The sequence below is a fragment of the Homo sapiens genome, chromosome 7, assembly GCF_000001405.40.
Source record: "Homo sapiens chromosome 7, GRCh38.p14 Primary Assembly".
In the NCBI taxonomy this organism is placed as follows: domain Eukaryota; kingdom Metazoa; phylum Chordata; class Mammalia; order Primates; family Hominidae; genus Homo; species Homo sapiens.
The window spans coordinates 80,228,898-80,254,215 of NC_000007.14; the positions used below are offsets into that span (position 1 = coordinate 80,228,898).

At 37.9% G+C, this 25,318-nt stretch overlaps 1 long non-coding RNA gene and 1 pseudogene across 1 annotated transcript; one reads left to right on the forward strand and one right to left on the reverse strand.

The window, feature by feature from the left end:
- Positions 1-16,633: 16,633 nt before the first annotated feature.
- Positions 16,634-20,161, reverse strand: LOC107986743 (uncharacterized). The gene is made up of 3 exons (XR_001745025.2): positions 19,835-20,161; positions 17,524-17,605; positions 16,634-16,734 (listed from the first exon to the last, which is right to left on the reverse strand). It is a non-coding gene; the product is annotated as an uncharacterized LOC107986743 (long non-coding RNA).
- RN7SL869P (RNA, 7SL, cytoplasmic 869, pseudogene) lies at positions 17,029-17,328 on the forward strand (annotated as a pseudogene).
- Positions 20,162-25,318: the final 5,157 nt, after the last annotated feature.

The window sequence follows — 25,318 nt, forward strand, 5'->3', positions numbered from 1 at the left end:
CAAAGAGTAAAGTAAGTTGATTCTTTTAGTATGGTATTTTTCAAAAATGTCAGAGCATGACTGCCTTCCTATTTGGCTTTCACAGAATGATCATAAAGTGTTATTTCTGAAAATACATTTGAGGACTTTCCAGGTTTTTCAAAGACCTCCCTTAATAATTCACTTCTGAATAATTTTGTTATCATTCTTATATTCTTTATTTTTAAACAATTCTCATTCTGTGTCTTCATTTTTTATGGGCTTTGATTAAAGAATTTCTCCAGTATTACTTTCATCAATTACATTAACAATATATTCACAATATTTCTAATTTCACTAACAGTTTATTTGAATCATATTTGCACTGAACATCAAACCACACAATGCAAATAGAATAATAAAACTTGGATGGGCAAAGATGTTGCTGTCATTGGTATGGCTGTGTACTCCTATTAATAGAAGAGCACTGCTTGAGCAGAGACTAAATCAAAAGTTCCGAATGAAATTTTCATTATATGATGCCTTTTTCTTCCCCATGCAATCTTTTTTTATAATGGGTAAATCAAATAATAAATACCCAGGTAATCAATCTAGCCTTTTACTTGAATAGAGATGTTATAACTTGAGGGAAAAAAGTTGGGACTAAAAACTCCATTTAATTTGTCAAAATTATGTTTTTTATGTTACTATTATAATAATTATATTCAATAGTGTAGTGATCAATTTCTGACAATTTTTTCCTTACCCATAAGCTCCATGAGGGCAGTAATTATGTCTATAATGTTCACTATTTTGTCCCAAACACTAAGATACTGTTACAGAATAGGCAGTCGTTCAATTTTCAAGCAGGAAGCAAACCATCAAACATAAAAGATGGTTATGTTGAGCAAGTACTCACTTATAGCTATAATATTTACTATAGAGAATTTGTTATATCCATGTGAACCTAGAATTCATTGTAGAAAGTGGGAGAATTCAATAAAAATATTTTGTCACTAAGACTTAATGTAGAAAGAAGTATAATTTCTTCTCCTTATACTTTGAAGAACATTCTTGGTGGTAATTCAAACTCAACATTTCCCACATTTTTCCACTGAATATAGTATTATCCAAGATAGGTATTTGGAGAAAAGGGAAATTGTTTCATCAAACAAATTTGTAAATAAACAACATACTATACCCTCCTCTTAAAGTTCTCTAAGTCTTGCTGCAAAAAAAGAAAAATGTTTCATTGGCTATGTTTATTTGATAAGGAGACATCAACTCCCCCTGCCCCCCAAATACCAACAAGGACACAATGAGTATACTTAGAATAGTTTTTAAGTACTTCCTGCATTTTTCTCCTCTTCCCACACCATCTCTATTATTTTGAGCTTTAAGAACTTGGCAAGTAGAGAATGGAGGGAAAAAATAGAAAAGTAGGTGAAGAAAAGAAGAGAGAAAAAAAGAAGAGTGGAAATGTTCAATAAATACAGATGGGTGAACAAGAGGCTGTACTCTGGAGCCAGGGTTTCAGGGAGAGGAGAGACTTAGTAAAACTGCTGGAAGAGGTGGGTGGTTTTCATCCACAGGAAGGCTTTTTCAGGAGGAAGCTATCCAGTGTTTAAGGATATGGTAATAAATGTCTGTGGTTGTTTGCAGAGAACAGCTAAGAAAGAGTTGGTATTTTGGTCCTTCCTCTCAGAAAGCCTCTTGGATTCTTATCCAAATGAGTCTTCACCCGCCTAGAGTTTTGTGAGCCAGGGAGTTAAGGGATAGCCATGGAGATTTACGGACTTTCACTTATGTAACTAACCCCACCTAAGTGAGTCTTTATAAAAATTGTTTATGAAATTGTATATGTGTTTGTGAATGGGTATGCACAACACATAATGTATAAGATACGCATGCATGTGTGCATATGGAATATATGTAATATATGCATGTATGTCTTAAAGAAGAATAAAGCAAACACTTGTGTTCTCTATGATATATGAAGTTACAATATCTGGAGGCTACCATGTGCCTGTCCCTGATCAGTCCCTGATCACAGCTCTCTCTATTCCCTACAGAGCTAAGCAGGATCCTGAAGTTTGTGTTCATTGTTCCTTTGTGGTTTTTTAAAATTTATCACATATGTACATACTCTTTATATATTTTTCTTTTTTTTTTTTTTGCTTTTTTGAGATGGAGTCTTGCTCTGTCACCCAGGCTGGAGTGCAGTGGTGTGATCTCAGCTCACGGCAACCTCTGCCTCCTGAGTTCAAGTGATTCTCTTGCCTCAGCCTCCTGAGTAGCTGAGTGCCTCTGGGACTACTGGCATGCGCCACCATGCCTGGCTAATTTTTGTATTTTTGTAGAGGCAAGGTTTCACTATGTTGGCCAGGCTGGTCTTGAACTCCTGACCCCAGGTGATCCACCGGCCATGGCCTCCCAAAGTGCTGGGATTACAGGTGTGGGCCACTGTGCCCAGCCCTGTTTTTCATTTTTTAACTTTAGATATATGACCTCCAACTGTAGGTGTCCTTCTACAACTTGCTTTTGTTGTTATTCAACATTGTTTGTGAGATTTATCCATGTTGGCATGTCTTGCTTTTCATATACTTTCACTGGTAAATTTTAATTGATTGTATGAGCATGTCATAATTTATTTGGTAATTCTCTATTGTTAGACATTTTGATCATTTCCCCTTCTTTGGTCAATACTGCTGTGAATCCACTCATCTGGAGCTGCTACTTGGGGAATGGAAATATTTGATACAAACATACTTGTATCTTGAACTTGGCTAGATGTGAAATTACTTTTCAAGGTGGACATAGCAATTTATACTCCTGTGCACATTTTATAAAACTTGCTGTTTATTGTTATACTCAAGAGCACTTGGTATTGTTAAAGTCGTATCCAATATGCAGCAGGGCAGCAAAATTTGCACCATGATCAGCTGCTAGGGAGACAGCTTGTGAAATTTTGAGCATACTCTCTAAAAACATGTCTGCACTCTGTCTCTGTGAGTCAGCATGAGTTCAGCCCCAGCCAGTCTGTATGGTGTCCTGTCTTAGGAAACAATGTTTGAGAACAGAAAGATTTGCTTAAGATCTTTATTTGAAACTGAAAGATGGCCACCACTCCATCCTGTGCAGGTATCTGGATGAGCAAGGGCGTGTCTGCAAGAGGGGGAGAAACCTCTGACTGTGTGAGATGCACATGATCAAATCAATGGTGTATGGGGACTCATCTAACTTTACAGTTCCCTTTTCCTGTTTGGTATTTGGAAACAGAACTAATCTCTCTTTATATATGTATTGAGTTAGCCCCTTGGTTTTTGGACATTTCAGTGTGGGGCGTGAGTATAGCGGGCTATCTCAAAAAGGGAAATAGAGAATCTCACGAGGTATAAGGAAGAAAACTTGAAAGCTTAAGTGACTATCTGAAAAATAAGAAGTGTGATTGTATTTATGCTGCAAACAAGTTAAACAGGTGTTGCCAAGTCCACAACAGGTGATGTAGAAACCCTCCTTTTGCTTCCTATTTCATTCATACTAAATCCAATTTAAACTTCTCTCATAAACTGTACCCTAACGCAACCCTCTCATAACTAGCCAGCTTTATTTCTCACAACTCCCTCCAAAATTTCATCTTGTCTCATCAGTTTGGTCTCAAAGCCTTGTGAATATGCCAAGGTTTATTGTCAATATTTTCCTTTTTCTGGCATGACCTTCTCACTTCCTTCTCTGATGTAAGTAGTCTGAGGTTATACTCAACAACTCTTCCTTAAATCACAATAGCTGCAAGCCTTCACCAACCTTGCTTATAGAAATTCTAATAGATCTAAGGACCTCGCTTTTCTAGATATTCCCAGTATCTTCTTGTGGTGAATTATGAAATGTTTCCCATTGGTCTTACACTTCATGATTCCAAGGAAGCAGTACCTCAAAGCTCCTAGAGGTCAAACTTCATTTCCAAACCCCTTTTGTCCAACAGTTGACCATGATCCATGTGGCATTGCCAATGATTTATTGCCGTTCTTCTCAGTGGTGCAACTGGACATACACTATCACTGATAACTTTGCTATAAGTCCTAATAATTCTGCAAGCCTATGACTCACCTGAACACCAATCATCTCTTTCTGAATTTCTGGTACTACTGCTGTCCCACATGCTCTCCAGGATCCTGAAGAAAACTTCTGTCAATGGCTCCATCCATTTCCTGGCTCCTTTTTGTGAAAACAGGGTGACTATCCATTAGTCAACACCCACTTTGTAAAAGAAACCAAACATAAATTCAAGACAGTTTAATAAGTACGTATTAACTCCTGTAACTGGCAAGTCTGAGCATGGGGTAGACTTTGAGCACATTGTGATCTAGAGTTTCTAACAAAGCTGTCATTCATACTCAGCTTTTCTATGACTCTGGGCTCTGCTTTCCTCTGTGCGATGGTTTCATTCTTATGCAAGCTTTTTTTCCACACGGTAAGAAAAATGGTTCCTGTCAGCCTCAAGTCATTATTCTCTATAACTTATTAACCAAAAGAAAGAGAGTCTCTCTCTTTCCCAGTGTCTAGCTAATCTCATGGGGGACTGAGACAGGTATTTCTGGGATCATATGTCTAGCCCTTGGATTATCCCCCTTGCTAATCAGGAAGGTAAGTTACTGTGATAAGCTAGGCCAGGTCTGGGGCAGAGCCCTGTGGCTAGAGCTGGTGGAACTATGTAATTGACAGGCCTCCTCAGAATCACACCAGATGGAAGAGGAACATTTCCCGAGGAAATATGATGAATGAAGCATGCATGCATGCATATGTGTGCATGCAGACACATATACACACAATATCCCCTGGAGTCTTCTTGATTAAGCCCAGTTAGGAGTTCTACACACTTCCATGGCCCTACATATAAGAGCTTTTTAATGGTTTAAGCTCTTTCTTTCTTACAGTACAACTTGTCAAACTGTCACTCTCTAAGTTTTCCCTCAATGCTAGAAGGACTGCTTAGAAAGTTCTGGAATTAAGTGTGTAATGTGCCTGAAAAGTCGCTTTCTTCAAATAACTTAGACCTTGGCACTAAGTATGGTTCACTAGCCCAGCTTCCCTTTCTGAGGTAAATTTCTTTTTGAGGAAGAGAAGCTTGAGGAAACATAAGCTTCATTTAATAGGTTCCACTTGTGTCAATTAGGCTTTTATGCATTTAAATCTCAGTGATCAAGGTGTCGGTGCCTTTTCCCCCTGGAGGCTCCTAAATATAAATGAATACGTTGGGTAGAGTTGCTCATAAATCCACCCACTAGCACCCAGGTTCTAGCTTTGGAAATAGATGGTGCCTCACTCCAGTGCTCAACACAAGCTGAGCCCCATGTTTTAAAACTCCAATGAGGTCCCATATTATTTTCCCAGGGCCCATTTAGATCCCTCCTGTATCTTTAACTTTTCCAGTGTTTATTTCAGCTGACATTGCTCTACAGTCTCCCTGAACTGTTAGGCATTTATAGTCCTTACAATTCAGAACACCCATCCAGCACAGTCATTGTATGTTCAACAAGAATGTGTAGTTATCGAAAGAGCCATACCTTATACATACAATACTGCATGTTGTATGTGTTTAATACATACTTTTAAATAGTCTTGAAGATACACACATCGGTCACTCATTTTATATATACATTTTTTAAGCTCACAAAGTTCACATAGTTCAGAAAATAATTCTGAGCAATCAATTTCCTGAGAGATAGAGGAAAGCTCCCAGCAACACTCCCCGTGATTTTCCTCAACTTTCTTGGAGTGAGATATGTACTGATGCATTTAAACTAATGCTTTTCAAATTGTTTCACTGACTATTAATTCTGCAAGATGTCTTTCAAAATATTTCCAAAGAAATGTTTACTATTTCTCCCTTTGGGAGATTTACAAAGCACATCACCATAATAAAGATTCTGAATATGACTGCATTAGAGAAAGCTACTTAATTTAACACAGCACCTCACAAACTTGTTCCACCAGAGAAATGAATTTATATGAAACATGTATTAACCTCTTGTACATTTAGCGCTTGAGGAACACAGTATGAGAAGTGCTAATAAATTGAGAGATGTAGACTTTTTTTAATGCATCAATTGCATCTCAAATGTTTGCCAGTAAACAGTTACTTTATGTAAGATGGAAAGGAAGGGATTAAAGTGTTAGGATGGTGTAAGAAAAAGGACATTTACCTGGGAGATCAGTTTTTCTGGGCCCTATGTCTATCATAGCACATTTAATGTGCAATTTCACTTCTGATCCTATATTACCTTATTGATTTTATTCTTTGGTTCACTTCTTGATGATTTTTAATTTGTTATTTGGTTGCATTACCTGTGTTTAGGTTGTTTTAAATTCATCCTCTCATTTACTCAATAAAAGTTTTTTCAAAACATATAACCTCTCTGCTAGCTGTGGTAATGAAAAATTAACAATAGATACATGAAAATACCTTCCCTAATTTTCCAGCCCACTGGAGATTTCAGTAAGCAATTACCGCAAGCTATAAAAATTCTAGGGCTTTCCAGAGAGTGCTATCTCAAGCTCAAATAATCAGGTAAGTTTTCTTGGAAGAAATTGTATCAAAGACTTGAAGGATGAATGAGTGATGGTGAGGTGACCATCTGTCAGAGGCGGCGTTCCAAGTAAAGAGAACAACATGTGTTCTGCTGATAAGAAGAGAGAAAAAAACATGCTGGGTTCAAGAAACCTAACATTTAGTACGGCTACATCATTGAAGGGATTCAGGGAGGGGAATAGTTGATAAAAGATAGATGAAGCAGGGCTATTACACAGAGCTTATGCAGTGCTTTGCAAGTCATTTTAAAAAGTTTGAACACAATCAAATTTGCATTTAGAAAGATAACATTGACTACAATGTGAAGAATGGGTTGAAAAGGGATAAAACAGAGCAAGCAGATCAGTACTAGCGGTGTGTTTAATAATCCAAAGAATAGTGGGCTGATTTTTAAATCGAATATACAAGTTTCTAAAATGGAGCAACTCAGATGAATGCCACTCTAGTAGCTAGGTGTGGGAATGAAAAAGTAACAATAGATATACGAAAATATCTTCTTAATGTTCATCTTCTTTCTGGCTCTTGTAGCTTCAGCTATTGAAATAGGAACAGCAAGAAAGCAGGGTCAACGAAAAGGGGGGCAACAGTTATCACCACAGATTAGTATATGCTTAAGACATGGTAAGAAGTTGATCTATGGAACAAATATGTGTAGCTTATACCAGTGTCTCTCTATCCTGCCTGCTCAACAGCCAGAGAGCTTTGGAAAATTCTGATACTAGGGCCGAGATTCTGATTCAATTCAATTCTGATTATCTGGTTTGGGGTCTTATAAACATCCCCAGGTAGGATTAGAAGGCGAGAGTGAGATCCAATGAGAACCAATGAGTCTACAGATAAATTCAGACCTATCTATTTTAGCTTTGTTAATTTACATTCCATAGTCAAAGGTAGTTTTCCTCAAATTTTAGCAGGCATTAGAATTACATGGGAGGCTTGTGAAACTCAGATCGATGGGCCCTACTCTGAGAGTTTATGATTCAGTAGGCCTGGGTGGGACCTGAGAATATACATTTATAACAAATGCTCAGGTGGTGCTGCTATTGTTCCAGAAACCAAGATTTCAGAACCACAAGTCTAAGAACCACTAGTCACTTTGGAAATAAGAACTTCATAATTTCTTTTTTGCTAGTGGAACAATATTTTCTTATTTTATTCTTTTATTTATTTAGATGTTTGGAATTGTTTTAGTTTCCCACCTGTGCACTGCACACCAAAATGGAAACAAAATTGAGAAACTATGATATGCTTTTATTTTATTATAGACATGAGAAGTAAATACAGGGCTTAGAAGAATTTCCTCAAAATATTTTCTATGCTGAAATTTCTTTTAAAAAATTTATTCTGATTCAAATAAGGAAGGAAACCCACATTTTAAACATGATGCATATGCCGTGGGAGAAAATATAAAATAATCTGATGATTCACCACTGTTCATGATTTAGCAAAAGCTTGCCCACCATAGTTACTAGAGTGGCATGTCTGCCTTATGTTTCTCTCTGAAGTGAGTCTACAGCTTATACCAACACCCAGTACCTGGGGTTGGCTGGCTGGCTCACAACTCACAGTCAGAATCAACTACATTGTAGTCTGTGCTAATGAGTTATTTTTATGTGACATTATTGTTGTTCTGATTTTTTAGGAACCTTGGTTAGTTTATAAAAGACTGTTTTTTAACAGCAAAATATTACCAAGAAAATTTTGATTTCATAGTCAAATCTGACATGTTTCTCAAACGCACACAAATCATTTCAAAGTTTTAATTAAAAGTAAAATCTACGCTAAAAAAACTGCACATGGATTAATCACATCAATTATAATTTAGAAATTATATACAGACATGTGTTGCTAAATTGGGAAAAGTTCTGAGAGATATACTGTTAAGCGATTTTGTTGTACAAAGATTATAGACTGTACTTCCATAAACCTAGATAGCCTACTACACACTTAGGTTATATGGTACAGCCTATTGTTTCTAGACTACAAACCTGTACAGCATGTTACTGTAGTGAATACTATAGTGAATACAGTAGTGAATACTGCAATGTTAACACAATGGCAACTATTTTTGTGTCTAAACATAGAAAAGGTATAGTATAAATATGTTATAAAAGATAAAAAATGGTATTGTGTATTGATCTGTTCTCACACTGCTATAAAGAACTACCTGAGACTGGGTAATTTATGAAAAAAAGAGGTTTAATTGACTCACAGTTCTGCAGGCTGTACAGGAAGGATGGCTGAGAGGCCCAGGATACTTAGAATCATGGAAGAAGGCAAAGGGGAAGAAAGTATGTCTTACCATGCTGGAGCAGGAGAAAGAGCATGAAGGGGGAAGGGCTACATACTTTCAAATAACTAGATCTCGAAAGAATTCACTCGCTATCAGGAGAACAGCAAGGGGGAAATCTATCACCCTATGGTCCAATCACCTTTCACCAGATTCCTCCCCTAACATTGGGAATTACAATTCAACATGAAATTTGGGTGGGTCACAGAGCCAAACCATTACAATCTATATAAGACACTTATCATAAATAGAGCCTACAGGCCTGGAAATTGCTCTGGGTACGTTAACGAGTGAGGCCTGGCACAGTGGCTCACACCTGTAATTCCAGCACTTTGGGAGGCCAAGGCAAGAGGATGACCTGAGGTCAGGAGTTTAAGACCAGCCAGGCCAACATGGTGAAGCCCTGTCTCTTATACTAAAAAAAAACAAAAATTAGCCGGGCACTGGTGGCTGGCACCTGTAATCCCACCTACTTGGGAGGCTGAGGCAGCAGAATCGCTTGAACCCAGGCAGCGGAGATTGCAGTGAGCAGAGATTGCACCATTGAACTCCAGCCTGGGCGATGAGTGAAATTCCATCTAAAAAAAAAGTTAATGAGTGAGTGGTGAGTAAATGTGAAGGCCTAGGATATTATTGTACATTACTATATATTTTATAAACTTTATACTTAGACTACACTAAATTTATAAAAATATTTTTATTTCTACAATAATTTAACCTTGGCTTATAAAGTAACTTTTAACTTTATAAACATTTTAATTTTAAACTTTTTGACTCTTTTGTAATAACATCTTAAAACACAAACATTGTACAGCTGTAGAAACTATGTCTTCTTTCTTTATATTTTTGAAAGGTTTTTCTTATTTTTAAATTTAAATTTTTTTTTTTTTTTTTTGCTTTTTAAACTTTTTTGTTAAAAACTAAGACATAAACATACACATTATCCTAGGCCTACACACAGGGTCAGGATCATGAAGACGTCACTAGACAGAATTTTTCAACTCCATTATAATTTTATGGGACCACTGCTGTGGATGTGGTCCCTCATTGACCAAAATGTCATTATGTGGCACACGACTATATTAAATTTTAATATGAATTATTAGAAATTTAAATTTTTTCATAAAATTAATTCTTAAGGAATATAAGAGCCACAATGTCAAAGGTCTTAGCATTACCCTTTCTGCTTAGCATGTAACATTTCTTGTGCCTATTGGTGAATGAAGCATTATGGATAGGAAGAAATTTTCATACTGAATAATTTCCCAAAAATACATTTTTTCAGAATAAGTTTGGCATGTTTTTTACATACCATACATTTTTTTCTACCAATATCATTTTTAGCAGTAACAAAATGAAATCTACTCAATGCCCCAAAACGTAATGATCACTATAGATTTTACTTCTAAAAATATACCAATATGAAATATCACAGGAAGTATGGCTATAAAAGCAAAACTCTCAAAATAAAATGAAATGTTGCAGTTTTGAAGTTAAAGAGCCAACTGACTTCTTCTCAATTAGAAAAAAATCTGGCTAAGCAGATGGATCCTGTACTGAGAGCCCCAAGGCCAACAGACTTGGCTTTATTGGACCATGACCATTAGCCATAGCTATGCCCTTTTCTTGTCATTAACTCATATTACTTTACCAAACTGGAATATTCTAAAAATAAGGTAACTATTATATTAGTTTTTGGGAGCATCATAAAAACTGACAGGAAAAGCCAACAAACCAATACTGTTTATTACTTATCATTCCAGATTGTCACCAAACAACATGAGAAGTTTTCATCAATTTTGGATGCTTGCCGAATTTCATCTTTACCCCAATTTTTCTTGATAGTCCCTTCTTTAATAAGATGGTCCCTGTAACCTCCAAAATTCCATTATGAAAGAAACAATATTGTTTCCACAATCTTGCTATTGTGAAAACATGCACTTAAGAACTCATAATTTATCTAGAGCAGTTTCAAAATGTCAGGGTAATAGGAAATTATTTTAAAATATGTTAAAATTGCAGACAAAAACCCTGTAACCTCTGTAAGCTCCTCGAAAACTTTACTGTTGATTATTTAAATTATCATTTGTGTCAGAATTTGTGGAGTATTTAATTGCCAGCCAAGTAAAGAAACGTTTACTACCAGTACCAGTACAAGACATTGCACTAGATACTTTTCAACATAGATTTAATTTCATTCTGAGTACATATATTATCTATCATTACTTATTCATAGCTTAAGAAGATATATTTTAACTCAAAACAATAATAGAAAGCCTCAATAGTTAAACATATATTCCAAATTAGCCATTAATAGAATGTAAAGATTGCATTTTTACAATAAAAAATAAAGAAAATCTATGACTAGAATTAGACGTTGAGACAAAATAGGATGTTATTGGATATTACACTTTGATGTTTTAAGTATTTATGCCAACAATGGAGATAAACTTGAAATATTTGTCTCTAGCCAATGCAACAAATGCATGGTGAACATGGAGTCCCAAGAAAGGCTGTATAATATTATTTACGGTTTTTGGAAGTGGCTATAGGTTGATAAATAAGTAATTTAATCATAGCACTTTAGAACAGGAAGAGAAATTAGAGATAATCTACTTCCACATGAAGTAGATTTATTTTACCCATGAAGCACAGAGCTAATACCAGTAATGCTTGTAGGTCTACTTTTGTTGTATTTACACTTGAAGTACAGATAGCACATCTGATAACACATTCTCATATAGTATAGCGTAAACTTGGAAAGAGTTTATTCTTGGCTTTCAAGCTTTTGTGTGCTGCTGTGTTTGTTAATGCCCAGAGATCCCATGCAATAAGTCTGAATGGAACCCAGGTATCTGCAATTTCAGTGGACACTCATAGTGATTGCGATGCAAGTCATCTTTGGTTAGTACTAATGAAATACAGAACTATAGAATCTTAAAGTTCTAAAAAGGGATTTTATGTTGAGTAAGCACACTTTTCCAAACAACTCACAGTTTTTTTCTTATTCAAATATGTTGCTTTTTCTTTTCCTTTGTCAACTCTAAGGAAAAGGGAATGTTGTTTAAACAAGAAGCCTGGAAGACCCTAGAGCGGTACATTTGACTCACTTCCTGCACTTGACTAAGAATCAGAATCACTTGTAAAAATACACATTCACAGGCCCTTTTCTTGGAGAGTCTTATTTATGGGAAGATATATGGTAGGACACACAAATCTCCAGTTTTCAGAATCACTCCTGGTGATTTTGTTAACTCACCCAATTTGAAAGCCCAGCCATGATCTGTTATATTGGAATATGTTTCAGTGGTTCTCAACTTTGGCATATAGGATTAACTAAGGGTCTCTGTGAAACCTAGAGTGTTAGACTCCAACTCCAGAGCTTCTGAATGTGTAGGTCTGGGGTCAAGAATTTGCATCTCTCCCAAGTTACCAGGCAATGCTGCTGATGTTTCAGGGATGACACTGAGAACAACTGGGCTAGATGATGCTGTGCCAAAGCAGATAATTAACAGAAAGTGCCTAGAAGTTGCTGCAATACCTCTGCCAAAACCCACAATTTGCCTCCTGTTGCCTAAGAACAATATTATGCCCTCTACTTCTTTTCTTTCTTCCAAATCTCAAGCAGGTGTTTCTGATTAGTGGAACCCAAACTGGAAACTCCTGGTAGAGATTCTGGTACCTGTAGTTCCCAGGCTTATAGCTGTTACAATGTTTGGGTGCAGCTGGAGCTAGACTGGAGGCTACAAGAGGGAAAATGATGTTCAGTCACCAATACATAACGTAGCACAAACGTGCAGGTAGGTTTTCGTAGTAGTTGGTCCCAAGCTAAGGAAGTCAGTTAATTCCTGACCGTACTCCAAATGTGAAAGGGCCAGTAGGATCTGAGGGTCTGGAAAATGGAAAAAAATATAAGACACTTAAAAGAGAGAAACGAATTTTAGAGTTAGGTGATCAGGATGAGACCCGACTGCCCAATATGACTAGTAATATAGACTCAATCAAGGCCAAAAAGAAATCTTACCAATGAAGAAAGGCATTACACTTTTGACAATGCACCCAAATGTAGAAAAGACCTGGACATCTGAAAACTATTATATGTATAAGTGATCAGTAGACAGAACAGGAACTGGAAGCAAAAACAGATTGCAAGAAGGGCCAAAAATCTGTGTTAGGGAAAAAGTATGCACAGAATAAGGCATACTTCAAGTGAGAGTACAAGAGAGAAAAGAAAACTGAAATCTGATCTGAATATACAGAGGTCTCACATTCACCAGGTAAATGAATGCATTCATATGCAATGACCAAAATGAAAACAGGAAAAAATATTTCAGGACATAGAAAGAAATGAATGTTAAAGGTATAACTATAGAGGAAAACAGCAGCTAAGGCAAGAAGCATAGTGTTCACAATTAGCGTCCAGTGAGTGGAAAGAAGTAAATTATTAAGATTCTGGTTAGCTTGACTGACTTCTGCCAGGCCTTCATTTGTACAGACACCATTTTTAAAATCAGATGTCAAAACAGAGAATAGTCCTGAGATAAAAGATTCAGTTTTACGAATGAAACTAAACAGGGACATTGAAGCTGTCATTGATTTGGGTAGCCCAAGGTACCAAGATGATCACATTAGCACAGAACAAGATTTTCAAGCACTAGGTTCTTTTCAATTTTCTCTTGAATCCCTATCTTAGTTACAGTTTAGGGAGATAAAAAAGCAATATTCTTTGCTTTCAGTAAATTGAATAAATACCCTACATTGCTGCAATATCTAAACACATTTTAGCTTTCATTTAAGCATTTAGAAATGCTTAGGTAGAAGAAATCATAAAATAATAAACATATATGTGACCACATTAAAATTTAAAACCTTTTAATGCTGAAACAAAAACAAAAAATAATACGTATTAGAAGGGAAGGGTGCCTAGGATAGCTACATTGTGTGAACAACACAAATTGCAGCATAATATGTATGGTTTTCTCACATCTTGTAAGATTAAAAAATGACTATGGAGAGACAGACCTTAAACTGTGAAGTGGGTATGTCTGGGAGTGAGGCAGGAAAGGGAGGAAGGGGGCTTAAACTTTTTACTTTATACAGTTTAGTTCCACTCAAATATTTTATAATGAGCCTTTTGTTTTATATATATAAATGATTGACCACTTAAGTATTCAATATTAAAATATTGGATTGTGGAATGTTGGTTATTTGTACATTTTCATCACTCCCCTGGCTTTAGGATCTTCTCAGTAGCATTTTGTAACAAAAAGCAATGGAGGGATATCTGCTGAATGATGAGGAAAAAAATTATTTCTCAGAAGTGTCACAATAATTGAAGACATCAGAAAGACATTTTCCAATGCGCAAGGACTCATGAAACATATTAAGCATGTACTACTAAATAAGACATCCATCCATGCATACATACATATATATAATTCACTAATTAGAAATCACTGTGCTGCAGACCAGTGGTGAATGTAATCATTAGAACATGGAAATAATGCTAAAATAATATGGACTGTCATTACAGAAAATAACCTAGAAATTACAATTCGTGAAATAAATCTACATAACAAAAATAATAATTTCTCTATAAAATATCAAAACAAAAATTATGCAGTGTCTCCCTTAAAGTGGTAAAATTGAGACGGAAGCAGCATAATCGCAAAAGTGTCCTCTTTTTTAATGCATGACGTGCAGTGAGTGCTGTGATATGCTACCCGGATCCCTCTTCAGGAGTGACACACATTTCCTCAGCTGCCTGGAAGTTGCTGGGTGTGCTGCCTGGTCAACAACTGTCTGTCTTCAGCTATTTTCAGGCAATGCCTCATTTGAAGTGACACCTGGCCCAAGGTCACAGCCCCTTCTAGGGACAAGGCAGTATGCAGTGACTGGTCATCTGGATCCCCTCGCCAAAACTCTCAAGGATTGATTGTCTAAGCTTCAGAGCTCCCTGTGGGTTGCTAAGGACTTTATTGAGATTGCACAACAACACATTTTTTCGGCTGCCCAGTCCTGTTTTCCTCTATTCCTTCTCACAGGTGTTGATTTCAAGAGCAATTCCCCCAAATCTTCCTGCACTCAAATCTCCATCTCAAAAAATATGGTAGGTTCTGACTCTTATAATAAGGTTAGTGAGAACTAAATTCAATATTAATTATTGAAAAGTAAAAAATTACTAATTTTTTAAAAAATGCGGAAAATGAACAAATGTAAAAACTCATTGAATTCCATAAGGGGATCAATAAAAGATCAATTAATAATAAAACCTTTAATCACCCCATCTCAACAATCAAAACCTTGAAAATGTAACGGAATAATTTTGAATAGCAAGTAAAAGTAAAACATCATGATAATAAACTTAAAAAGAAAAGTATGTGATATATAGAAAATAAATTTAAAATTTTAAAAGAAGAGGATAATGAGAAGGAATGTCTTACCCTACCATTGAGCAAAATGTCATATAAACCTACGGTAATTTTATCAATTTATTATTGGATGAGGAATAAAGAGGTTATGAAATAGATGAGCCTAAAAATAAACTCAGGCATATATAATTTAGTTTGTGCTAAAAGTAGCAATTTATATAAGTGGGGAAAGAAGAAACTGGTCAAGAACAGTGTTGAAATGAGTGACTAACCATTTGCAAAACATTAAGTCAGATTTTTAAGTCATCCCGTCTAAATAAGGTTAAGCCTTAACTTTCCACTTGAGCCTGTGATTCCCACTCTTCCTGTCCCCTCTGTAACCTCATACAATTTATTTTTCTCATATATTTTTCTGTATCTCCTGTCCCTCCCCCTCCATTCTGTCAACATGTAAGCATCCTTAAGCCTTTTCTGTCTTAAACAAACAACCAACAATAAGGAAATAAAACCTCTCTCAACCCCTCTAGCTCTTGGAGCTTCCACCGTATTTCTTGCCTCTTTTTGACTGAAACAGCTTCCTATTGTTACTCTCTTGGCTGCTTCTCCTGCAGTCACTTCTGCTTATAGCAGCTTGTTGTTTGGCCCCATGTCTTAGACTCAGTCCCTAGAGACAGATTCTGAGACAGAGAATTTGGGCCAAAGGGTTTGTTGTACATGCTCCTAGGAGATGCTCTAATAAGGACACGAGGCAGGCAGGATTAAACAGGGGGAAGGAGATCTCCAATGTGTTTCCTCCTGAGGCCTCAGTTGATCCTGTGGGGAAGGACTGGAATTCTTCCAATTAAGACAAATCTCCTCACCATACAGTCATTGACCTGGGCTGCCTCTTGCATGGCAGTTCTGCAAATGGGGGCACCTGCCTCTGACGGATGGCAATTCCCAGAGAAGGAATGAGGTAATTGGCTCTACAGAGAGGGTCTGTATAAGCAACATAGTATGCACTACACCTAAACTTTGAGAGGTTCACAGCTACTTCCTTCCTAAATTCTATCTTCCTACCAGGGCAAAGCTTTCCAGGATCCTGATTAGTCTTGTTTCCTGGGAAATTATGAAAAGAAGTGTCAGTTGGATGAACTACAGCCCCTGTTGCTGCAGCTGATTTCAAAACTATAACTGATACCATCTTCCTGTACCATCCATTGGAGGTTCTCCTCTCCCTCAGCTCACACTTCCATTGATCTAGGAAGTTTGCCTCATTAGGTGATGCACACCATCATTCTTGAGCAGTATGAGCTCCTGGTTGCTATTCTCAGGCCATGGCAGATGTATTTTCCTATATAGGATTAAAACTGGGCATGGCAGCACCAAAGAGGCCCAAACATATCCCATCCTGCCCTCATGGGGTAGCAGCTGCCCTTCCTCCTCCTGAAGACCGTATCAATTACCTCTTCCAGGGTGGTGCCTCCTTTCCTTCCCTGCTGGTTTCTTGGCACAAGGATTCTGGAAGACTGAATAGCAGTAGTAGTCTAAAATTCAATGGTACTGTTATAGGAACCAGAATTTCCAGACATGTAGAATCTAAAACATATAGGGGAAAACGCCAATTCCCTCCAAGTGGATCACTGGGTGTAATGGTTTCCAGGGCCACTACAACTTTAATCTTTCAGTTCCCAAGCCCTTGAATTCTACCTTTGGGGAACAAAGCTCCATATGATGATTGTTGATTTAGGCTGTATGTGACACCCTGGATGGTGATGCCCATTCTCATAGGGTATCCTTTCTAAGCTGGCACCTCAGCTAGGCTTTTAAGAAGCCAATCTGCCAGGTGTGGTAGTCCACACCTGGAGTCCCATCTGCTTGGGAGGCTGAGGCCAGGAGCATAGCTTGAGCTTCTGAGTTCTGGGCTGTACTGTGATATGCCAATTGGGTGTCCACATTAAGTTCAGTGTCACCATGGAGACCTCCCAGGAACAGGGACCAACAGGTTGCCTAAGGAGTGGTGAACCAGCTCATGTTGGAAATGGAGCAGGTCAAAACTCCTGTGCTGACCAGTGGTGGGATCACATGTGTGAACAGTCAGTGCACTCCAGCCTGGGTAACACAGAAAGACCCCTTTCTCTCTCTCTCTCTCTCTCTTTTTTTTTTTAAAGAGGCCAATTTATCTCTACCAAGCTGATTGCTTCTGAGTTGGGCAGGATATCATAGGAACAGTAGATCCCTTAATCTCAGACAGGACCAGGAGTAGTGTGAGGCAAGAGGGTCCCCTAGAATGCAACATTTAAGGAGCCACTCAATCTCAGGTTTGTGCCACTTACCTCAGGCTGTTTCTCGTTCCATACAAAATGGCTGACCAAGTCCATTACTGGGAGCTCTGCCCATCCAGAAGTTTTCCTCTCACTGTTGATGAAAAAAGTCAAACTCTCTAAATAGTTGAAGAGATTTATTCTGAGTCAAATATGAATGACCACTGGCCTGTGACACAGCCCTCAGGAGGTCCTAAGAACATGTGCCAAAGGTGGCCGGGCCATCGCTTGGTTTTATCCATCTTAGGGAGGCATAACGCATCAATCAATACATGTAAGATGTACATTGGTTTAGTCCCAAAAGGTAGGACAACTGGAAGTGGAGGCTTCCAGGTCATAGGTGGAGTCAAAGATTTCCTGATTGGGAATTGGTTAAAAGAGTTATTATCAATAGAAAGGAATGTCTGGGTTATGATAAGGGGTTGTGGAGACCAAGGCTTTATCATGCAGGTGAAGCCAGGCAGCAGGTTTCACAGACAAAGATTGTAAATGTTTCTTATCGGACTTAGAGTCTCTTCTATCAGTAATTCCAAAAGGGAAGTGGGTATAATGAGGCATGTGTGGCTCCTCCTTCCCTTCATGGCCCAAACTAGTTTTTCAGGTTAATTTTGGAATGCGCTTGCTGAGAGGAGGGGTCCATTCACATGGTTTTGGGGTTTAGAATTTTATATTTTTGGTTTACATCACTGATGACTTGCAGGGCCAGGCTTGAGATAGATTATAGTGTAGAAGCCTCCACTTCTAGCTTGAACCCACCATAATAATTTACCCATCTATTAATCCTGTTTGTCCTTTTACCTTCTCAGTAGTTGCCATAGGGGTTTCCTGTGAGGCAGCAGGCATGAGCAGAGGGAAACAAGCTGTACAACCCTGGCAGTTGACTGGGAAGCTCGGCCCCACGTCATGCAGTTTACTTGTACATTCCAGCTTTCTGGATCTGTCATGCTCAACTCCAGATGTACCAATTCCATCTGGCAATGGATTGCTGCTGGGCTTTTTTGAGCCCTTTATGACTTGGCGATTTAGACAGAATAATGCTCATGAGGAAAACTCTAGCCATGTGGTTACTTGATGGTCCAGCATCAGATGCCCTCATCTATTAGGCTTGCCATAAAATCCATACAGTGTTTGATCCCACTGCAGATAATTCTAGCACTAGAGTCCCAGGTTGTATGGCCTCAGTGACAGGGTTGTTTGCACTGTAGCCTAAACTTGTTCTTTCCTGGAAAGCTCTTTCCTGTTTTTGTCTCCACTCAAATATGGCAATTTTTCATGTCACTGTCTGTGGTAAATAGGTTAATCAGTATTTCCAGTAGAAGAGCTCCAAAATACCTACTCAGTGTGGTGATTTTGTTTTGTTTTTAGTTGTGGGAGATGCAAGATGCAATCACTTGCCCTTTATTTGTCCTCACACACCCAAGATTACTGGGTCCCTAAAAAACTTTACTGATTTGGCAGTTTGCTAATACATTGTAGTATGTATCTACCACCCTATGGCATGCATGAGTCTATTAAGTTTCTGACATACTGTTTACTGCTCGCTCATCCCATGAGATTAAAATAATGCCTCTGTGACATGTCCAGATAATTAAAGTTCCTTCAGACTCTGATAGACAAGCAGGAGAGCTAACAGTGTCCTGAGGCAAGACCATTGTGTGTTGTCCATTACGCATGAATTCAAACTGCTCCTCATCCTACTTCTCATATGAGTGGGAAAGAAGGCATTTTCCGGGTTAATGGCTACATAGTATGTGCCAGAGGCCATGTTAATCTGCCATAGCAAGTACCTTGCTGACAGCTGCAATTGCGACTACCATTTGATTAAGTTTATGGCAACCCACTAGCAACCACAATGATTTATCTGATTTTTGCAAATTAAATGGGTATATTACATGGATAATCACCTCTGCCTTGTTTAAATCTCTGGGGGTGGTATTCCTCCTGAGACAATTTTTTTAATTAAATAAAGTTATTATCAGGGCTGATGTAGGGGCTGAAGGCAAGTCACACCAGTCCATCAAGATAACTTTCACCTCACAGGTCAAGCAAACAAAATAAGGGGTTGGGCCCATCATCAAGTATGTCCATTTCAAATACAAATACAGGGAGCAGAGAAATAACCATCAGGTGGGTCTGTGGACCCAGTGGACCAACTGTGAGCCAGACCTGGCCAAGACTTTATTTATTACCTTTCCTCCTATAGGCACCCATACTAACTGGGAGAGCAAGAGAATCCTGGTGCTTTGTGTCTCCAGTTTCAAAATCTGTTCTTACCCCGACAACACTTCAGAAAATCTGGAAAATCTTTCCACAATACAGTTACCTGAGCAAATGGTTATGATCCCCTAGGGAAGTTGTAAGTGATCCTGAATTGAACTGCAGTTTTCTAGGTTCCTTCCCCATCAGGCCCTGGCTTCTCCTTTGTTCATTGCTTGGATTTAACCCTTAATGTGATCGCCTGCCAGGGAAGTAGGAATACAGTTTAAAGAGGGCAAACATTGCTTTTTGAGCTGCTGATGCATTTGAGGCCTCTGCATGATCTTCAAGCAAGGGGGACAGCCACTATATTTTAATTAGAGGGAATGGGCCACATCTTCAGGCACAATGGTTTTATGGAACTCTGGGAGCTCAAGATATTCAATACCATTTATCCCTTCCAGGGTCTCTGCTTTTCCTATTAGGGTTCTATCAGTATGCAGAAAAAATTTCAGAGCTGAAAATTTAACCTTTTTGAAGTTCTTCTGCTCTTATCAATAAATCATGAGCCCGATCCTCTCCTCCCTCTGGCTTTAGGAGATTAGGATTTTCATAAAACTTGCCAAGAAGTCCCTCTGACTCTCATATTTTGTCTTTAATTGGTGATTTCTCACCTCAAGCCCATCTTTATCTTTATTCAATGATAATCAGCCATAGCCACCCAATTTCAGGATGTATTTGAACTCATTCCTGTCAAGTGTCAGAGATATTCCATTAGTCAGCATATCCTTTTCTACTGGTATTCTATCCAAGCTCACCATCAGTGAAAGTTTTAACAATTGTACTATCATAGCATGGCAGGAGCTATCCATACTACAACTACTATCCTCATTGCCAGCTTGCCAGTGAGAGATCCACCTCCAAAACCCAATTTAGAGTCTACTTTGTAGGACTACTTCTTGTACCAGCTAGTTTAGATTAAATTTCCTGAAATTGACTCCGATATGAGAAATTGTGAGCAGAAAGTTTATTGGAAATTATCCTTGGGAGATTCACTTGTAAGAAAGTGATGAAGGTAGAATTGGGCAAAGGGAGAAACTGACTCATTCTGCAAGTACAATTGCAATCTCAGCTAAAGCTATAAGAGCTATGAAACTAAGATGGCTTTTCAGAGTTATCTCAAATTGAGAGAAGAGGTTCTTTGTATTCTCACATCAGCAAGTATTTGGTCACAGGCCATCCTCTGGGGAGGGCATAACTCTGGGCAAGGAAGTCCTCTGTTGGCTGAAGACAATTCTCACTAAGGGACACAGCTGAGGACTAACAGATATTCAGAGCAGCTGGGGATGGATGTTTGGGCCCTATAGAGATCTGGATGGAGCATGCCACTCTCCTCCACTACTTCACTGATCCACTGAATCTATGCCTGTCTTGTTGCACAATGAACACTTTTTAGATTTTTATCTTACTTGTGTTTATCCCAGCATTAGGTTTTGTGGTCATTACTCTCGTCTTGAAACACTCTTTTTTGTTGCTTCCTTGAGACCATTTCCTTGCCGCAATAACCTCTTGGTTTTTCTGTCTAGTCACTGCTTTGTCTCTGCTGTTAGTTCTCTTTCTCTGCATATTTCTTAGATGCTGTTTTTCTCAGGATTCTGTACAAAGCCCTCCTCATTCCCAGCCAGTATCACAGCCAGTTGTGTAGAATCAATTTCAGTCCAAGTAATGATGACTCCTGAATATAGATTATACCTTTATACTGATTGTATCTTAAATAGGCATCTTGCTTTCTTGATATTTGGAAAAGCCACATTTAGGCTCAACATGTCAACAATGGAAACTATCTTCTTTGTTAAAGATGGGCTCGTCTTCTCAGGTTTTCTATCTTGGTGAAAGTCATCACCTTCCAACAATTACTTTAACTAGAAACCTGGGAGACTTCTTTGCTCACTCTCGTTCTCACATTCATTATTCTGTTTCACCAAGTGCGGCTGATTTTACCTCAAGTCTATTTACTTTCCTTTACTTCATTTGCCCCATCTTTGATCAGACTACGTCAACAGCCTTCTAATTGGTGCCCATTGCTATTATTCTGAAATTCAAACTTCTTGTGGAATTTTCAATCTCTTTATTTTCTTGCCACTCCTTATTCCCTACAGCCTATTTCTCACCACTTCTCAATTTCTACTGTTTCTGTTTATCTCTGACCTTTGATTGGACAATCTATTTTTAGCTCTGAGATCTTATTTGTTGCTCACCTTTGAAGAAATGCTATTAAGCATAGCTAAAATAGTATAGTATATTGGTTAATAGAATGTGTTCTGAAATTAGAATCCTTTAGGTCAAAGGCTCCACTGCGTATTAGCTGTAAGCCCGTTGACAACTTACTAAATCTCTTTGAGCCTGAGTTTCTTTCTTACAGATTTGTGGTGAGAATGATACAAGATAGCACATGTAACATATTTAGAATATCCTATGTGACAAATAATGGACTAAACAATGTCAACACGATACATGGAAATGAAACAACTTACACCTGAATAACTCTTGGGTGAATATTAACATTAAGGCAGAAATAAAAAAGACTTTGAAATTAATGAAAATATGGATGGAACTTAACAAAAATCTCTGGGATGTCGCCAAAGCAGTGTTAAAAGAAAAGTTTGTAACCCTAAATGCCTTCATCAGGAAGTTAGAAATATCTCAAATGAACAATGCAACTTTGCACCTAAAGGAACTAGGGAAAAAAAGAACAAACCATCCCCAAAGCTAACAGAAAAAAAGAAATAACAAAAACTGGGGCCGGGCACGGTGGCTCACACCTGTAATCCCAGTGCTTTGGGAGGCCAAGGTGGGCGGATCACAAGGTCAGGAGATGAAGACCATCATGGCTAACATGGTGAAACCCTGTATCTACTAAAAATACAAAAAATTAGCCTGGCGTGGTGGCAGGCACCTGTAGTCCTAGCTACTCGGGAGGCTAAGGCGGGAGAAGGGCGTGAACCCGGCAGGCGGAGCTTGCAGAGAGCCGAGATTGCACCACTGCCCTCCAGCCTGGGCGACAGAGCAAGACTGTCTCAAAAAAAAAAAAAAAAAAGAAAAAAGAAAGAAAAGAAATAGACAAGAAATTAAGAAAATTGAGATGGAAAAATTTCATACTAAAGATCAATGAAACCAAGTGTTGGTTCTTTGAAAACATAAATAAGACTGCCAGCTAGATTAACAAAGAAAAAGAAAGAAATCTAAACAAGCACAGTCAGAAATGACAAAGGCAATACTACAACTTATACGACAGAAGATCCTCAGAGACTCCTATAAACAACTCTATGTACACAAATTAGTAAATCTGGAGGAAATGGATAAATTCCTGGAGGCACACAATCTCCCAGGATTGAATCAGGAAGAGATTGAAACTCTGAATAGGCCAATATCAATTTCTGAAAATGAATCAGTAATAACCTACGAACAAAATGAAGCCCTGGACCAGATGGATTTACAGCTGAATTCTACCAGATATACAAAGAAAAACCGGCACCAATCCTACTGAAACTTTTTTAAAAATCGAGGGAAAAGGGGCTCCTCCCTAACTTACTCTATGAAGCCAGCATCGACCTGATACCAAAATCTGGCAGAGACACAATGAAAAAAAGAAAACTTCAGGCTAATATCCCTGATGAACATAGATGCAAAAATCTTCAACAAAATATTGGTAAACTGAATCCATCAGCACATAAAAAAGTAAGTACATCACGATTAAGTAGGCTTTAGTCCTGGGATGCAAGGCTGTTTCAACATACACAAACCAATAAATGTGATTCTCCACATAAATAGAATTAAAAGCAAAAATCATATGATCATCTCAATAGACACAGAAAAAGCTTTTGATAAAATCCAACATCCCTTCATGATAAAAACTTTCAACAGACTAGGCATCAAAGGAACATACCTCAAAATAATAACAGCCATCTATTACAAACCCACAGCCAACAACGTAATAAATGGGGAAAAATGGAAACTATTTCCCCTGAGAAATGGAACAAGACAAAGCTGCCTACTCTCACCACTCCTATCCAACACAGTACTGGAAATCCTAGCATAGCAATCAGGCAAGAGGAAAAAAAGAAAGGACATACAAATAGGAAAAGAAGAATTCAAACTATCTCTCTTTGCTGATGATACGGTTCTATACCTAGAAAATCCTAATGAATCTGTCAAAGGCTCCTAGAATAAATACATGACTATAGTATACTTTCAGGATACAATATCAATTTACAAGAATCAGTAGCATTTCTATGCACCAATAACACTCAGGGTGAGAGTGAAATCAAGAACATGCTCCCACTTTATAGCAGCCACAAAGAAAATGAAATACCTCGGAATACAGCCACTGAAGGAGGTAAAAGATATCTACAAGTAGAACTTTGATATTATTACTTCTTCTACTGAACTTCATATATATTATTGCAATTGCCTATTTTCTCCTTAAATTCTTCCTTAGAGTATAAGTTCCTTGGTAACCTAATATATTCCCTGTTCTAATAAAATAATCTAGTAATAATTTTACAAGGTTTGTATAGTCTGCAGTGACAATGATTAAAGTCTGTGTAAATCATGCTAAAAAAAAAAGATTAAAGAGCTTGGGAAAGGAGCAAATAATTTCATTGAGTTCTGAGGGATAAATAAGACAGATACAAGAAAGGAAGGATGATCCCTGTAGAGAAGACAGGATCCGTGAAGGCTTAGACACAATTAACAGTAGTTGGTAAGACCGCTGCAAAGCATGGTCAGGGAAGCAGTAGGAGAGGAGATCAGAGGCTGGTAGCAAACAGATGACTACACAAGTCAAGGCCTTGTTTTCCAGGTGCCTCGTAAACCTTCCTGATTCACTATGAACCTAGAAAGTAAAGGGTCCTTAGGAAAGCAAATAGTAACTTTCTCAACATCCCGGATGAAGAGAGACTTACAGTTCTATTTAATTTGATTGAAAGTAATTAAGAAATGTTCCTTCTTTTTTATGTGTGTGTGTCTTTAGGTGTAGAGTCATATCTGCTGCAGAGTTTCAGTGAAGTATGATTAGCAACATGGCCTTAGGTTTTATATCAAATTTTAGCTGAGGTAGTTATGATAACATACTACTTCATAAAAAAGGTATATTATAAAATCTATGAGAGAGAGGTTAACTAAGACATAACGTGGGATCACAAACAAGCTGTGTATATTTAACATAGATGGGTCTTGAAAGTGTTTGAATGCTGTACAAAGGGGAAACCATAGGCTGATGATGAATCATAGTTTTTGAGGAATGAAAATAAATAAAATCCAAAGAACAGGAGGAAGAATTAGACTTAACCTGGAGACGAGAAACATTTTCTACCAAGGCTAAGTAGGAAAGTGTACAAATTAAATTATGTTTATGTGGGGAAGAGAAGGATTAAGTACCTGGGAGAATGAAGGGGACAGTGGTGGGGTGAGAGTACTCAGGAAGAAGATAAAAACTTGATGTTATGGTCCAAATGCTTGTGTTCTCTCCCAAATTTACATGTTAAAATCCGAATCCCCAAGGCAATGATATTAAGAAGTTCGAACTTTGGGGAGGTGATTAGGTCTTGAG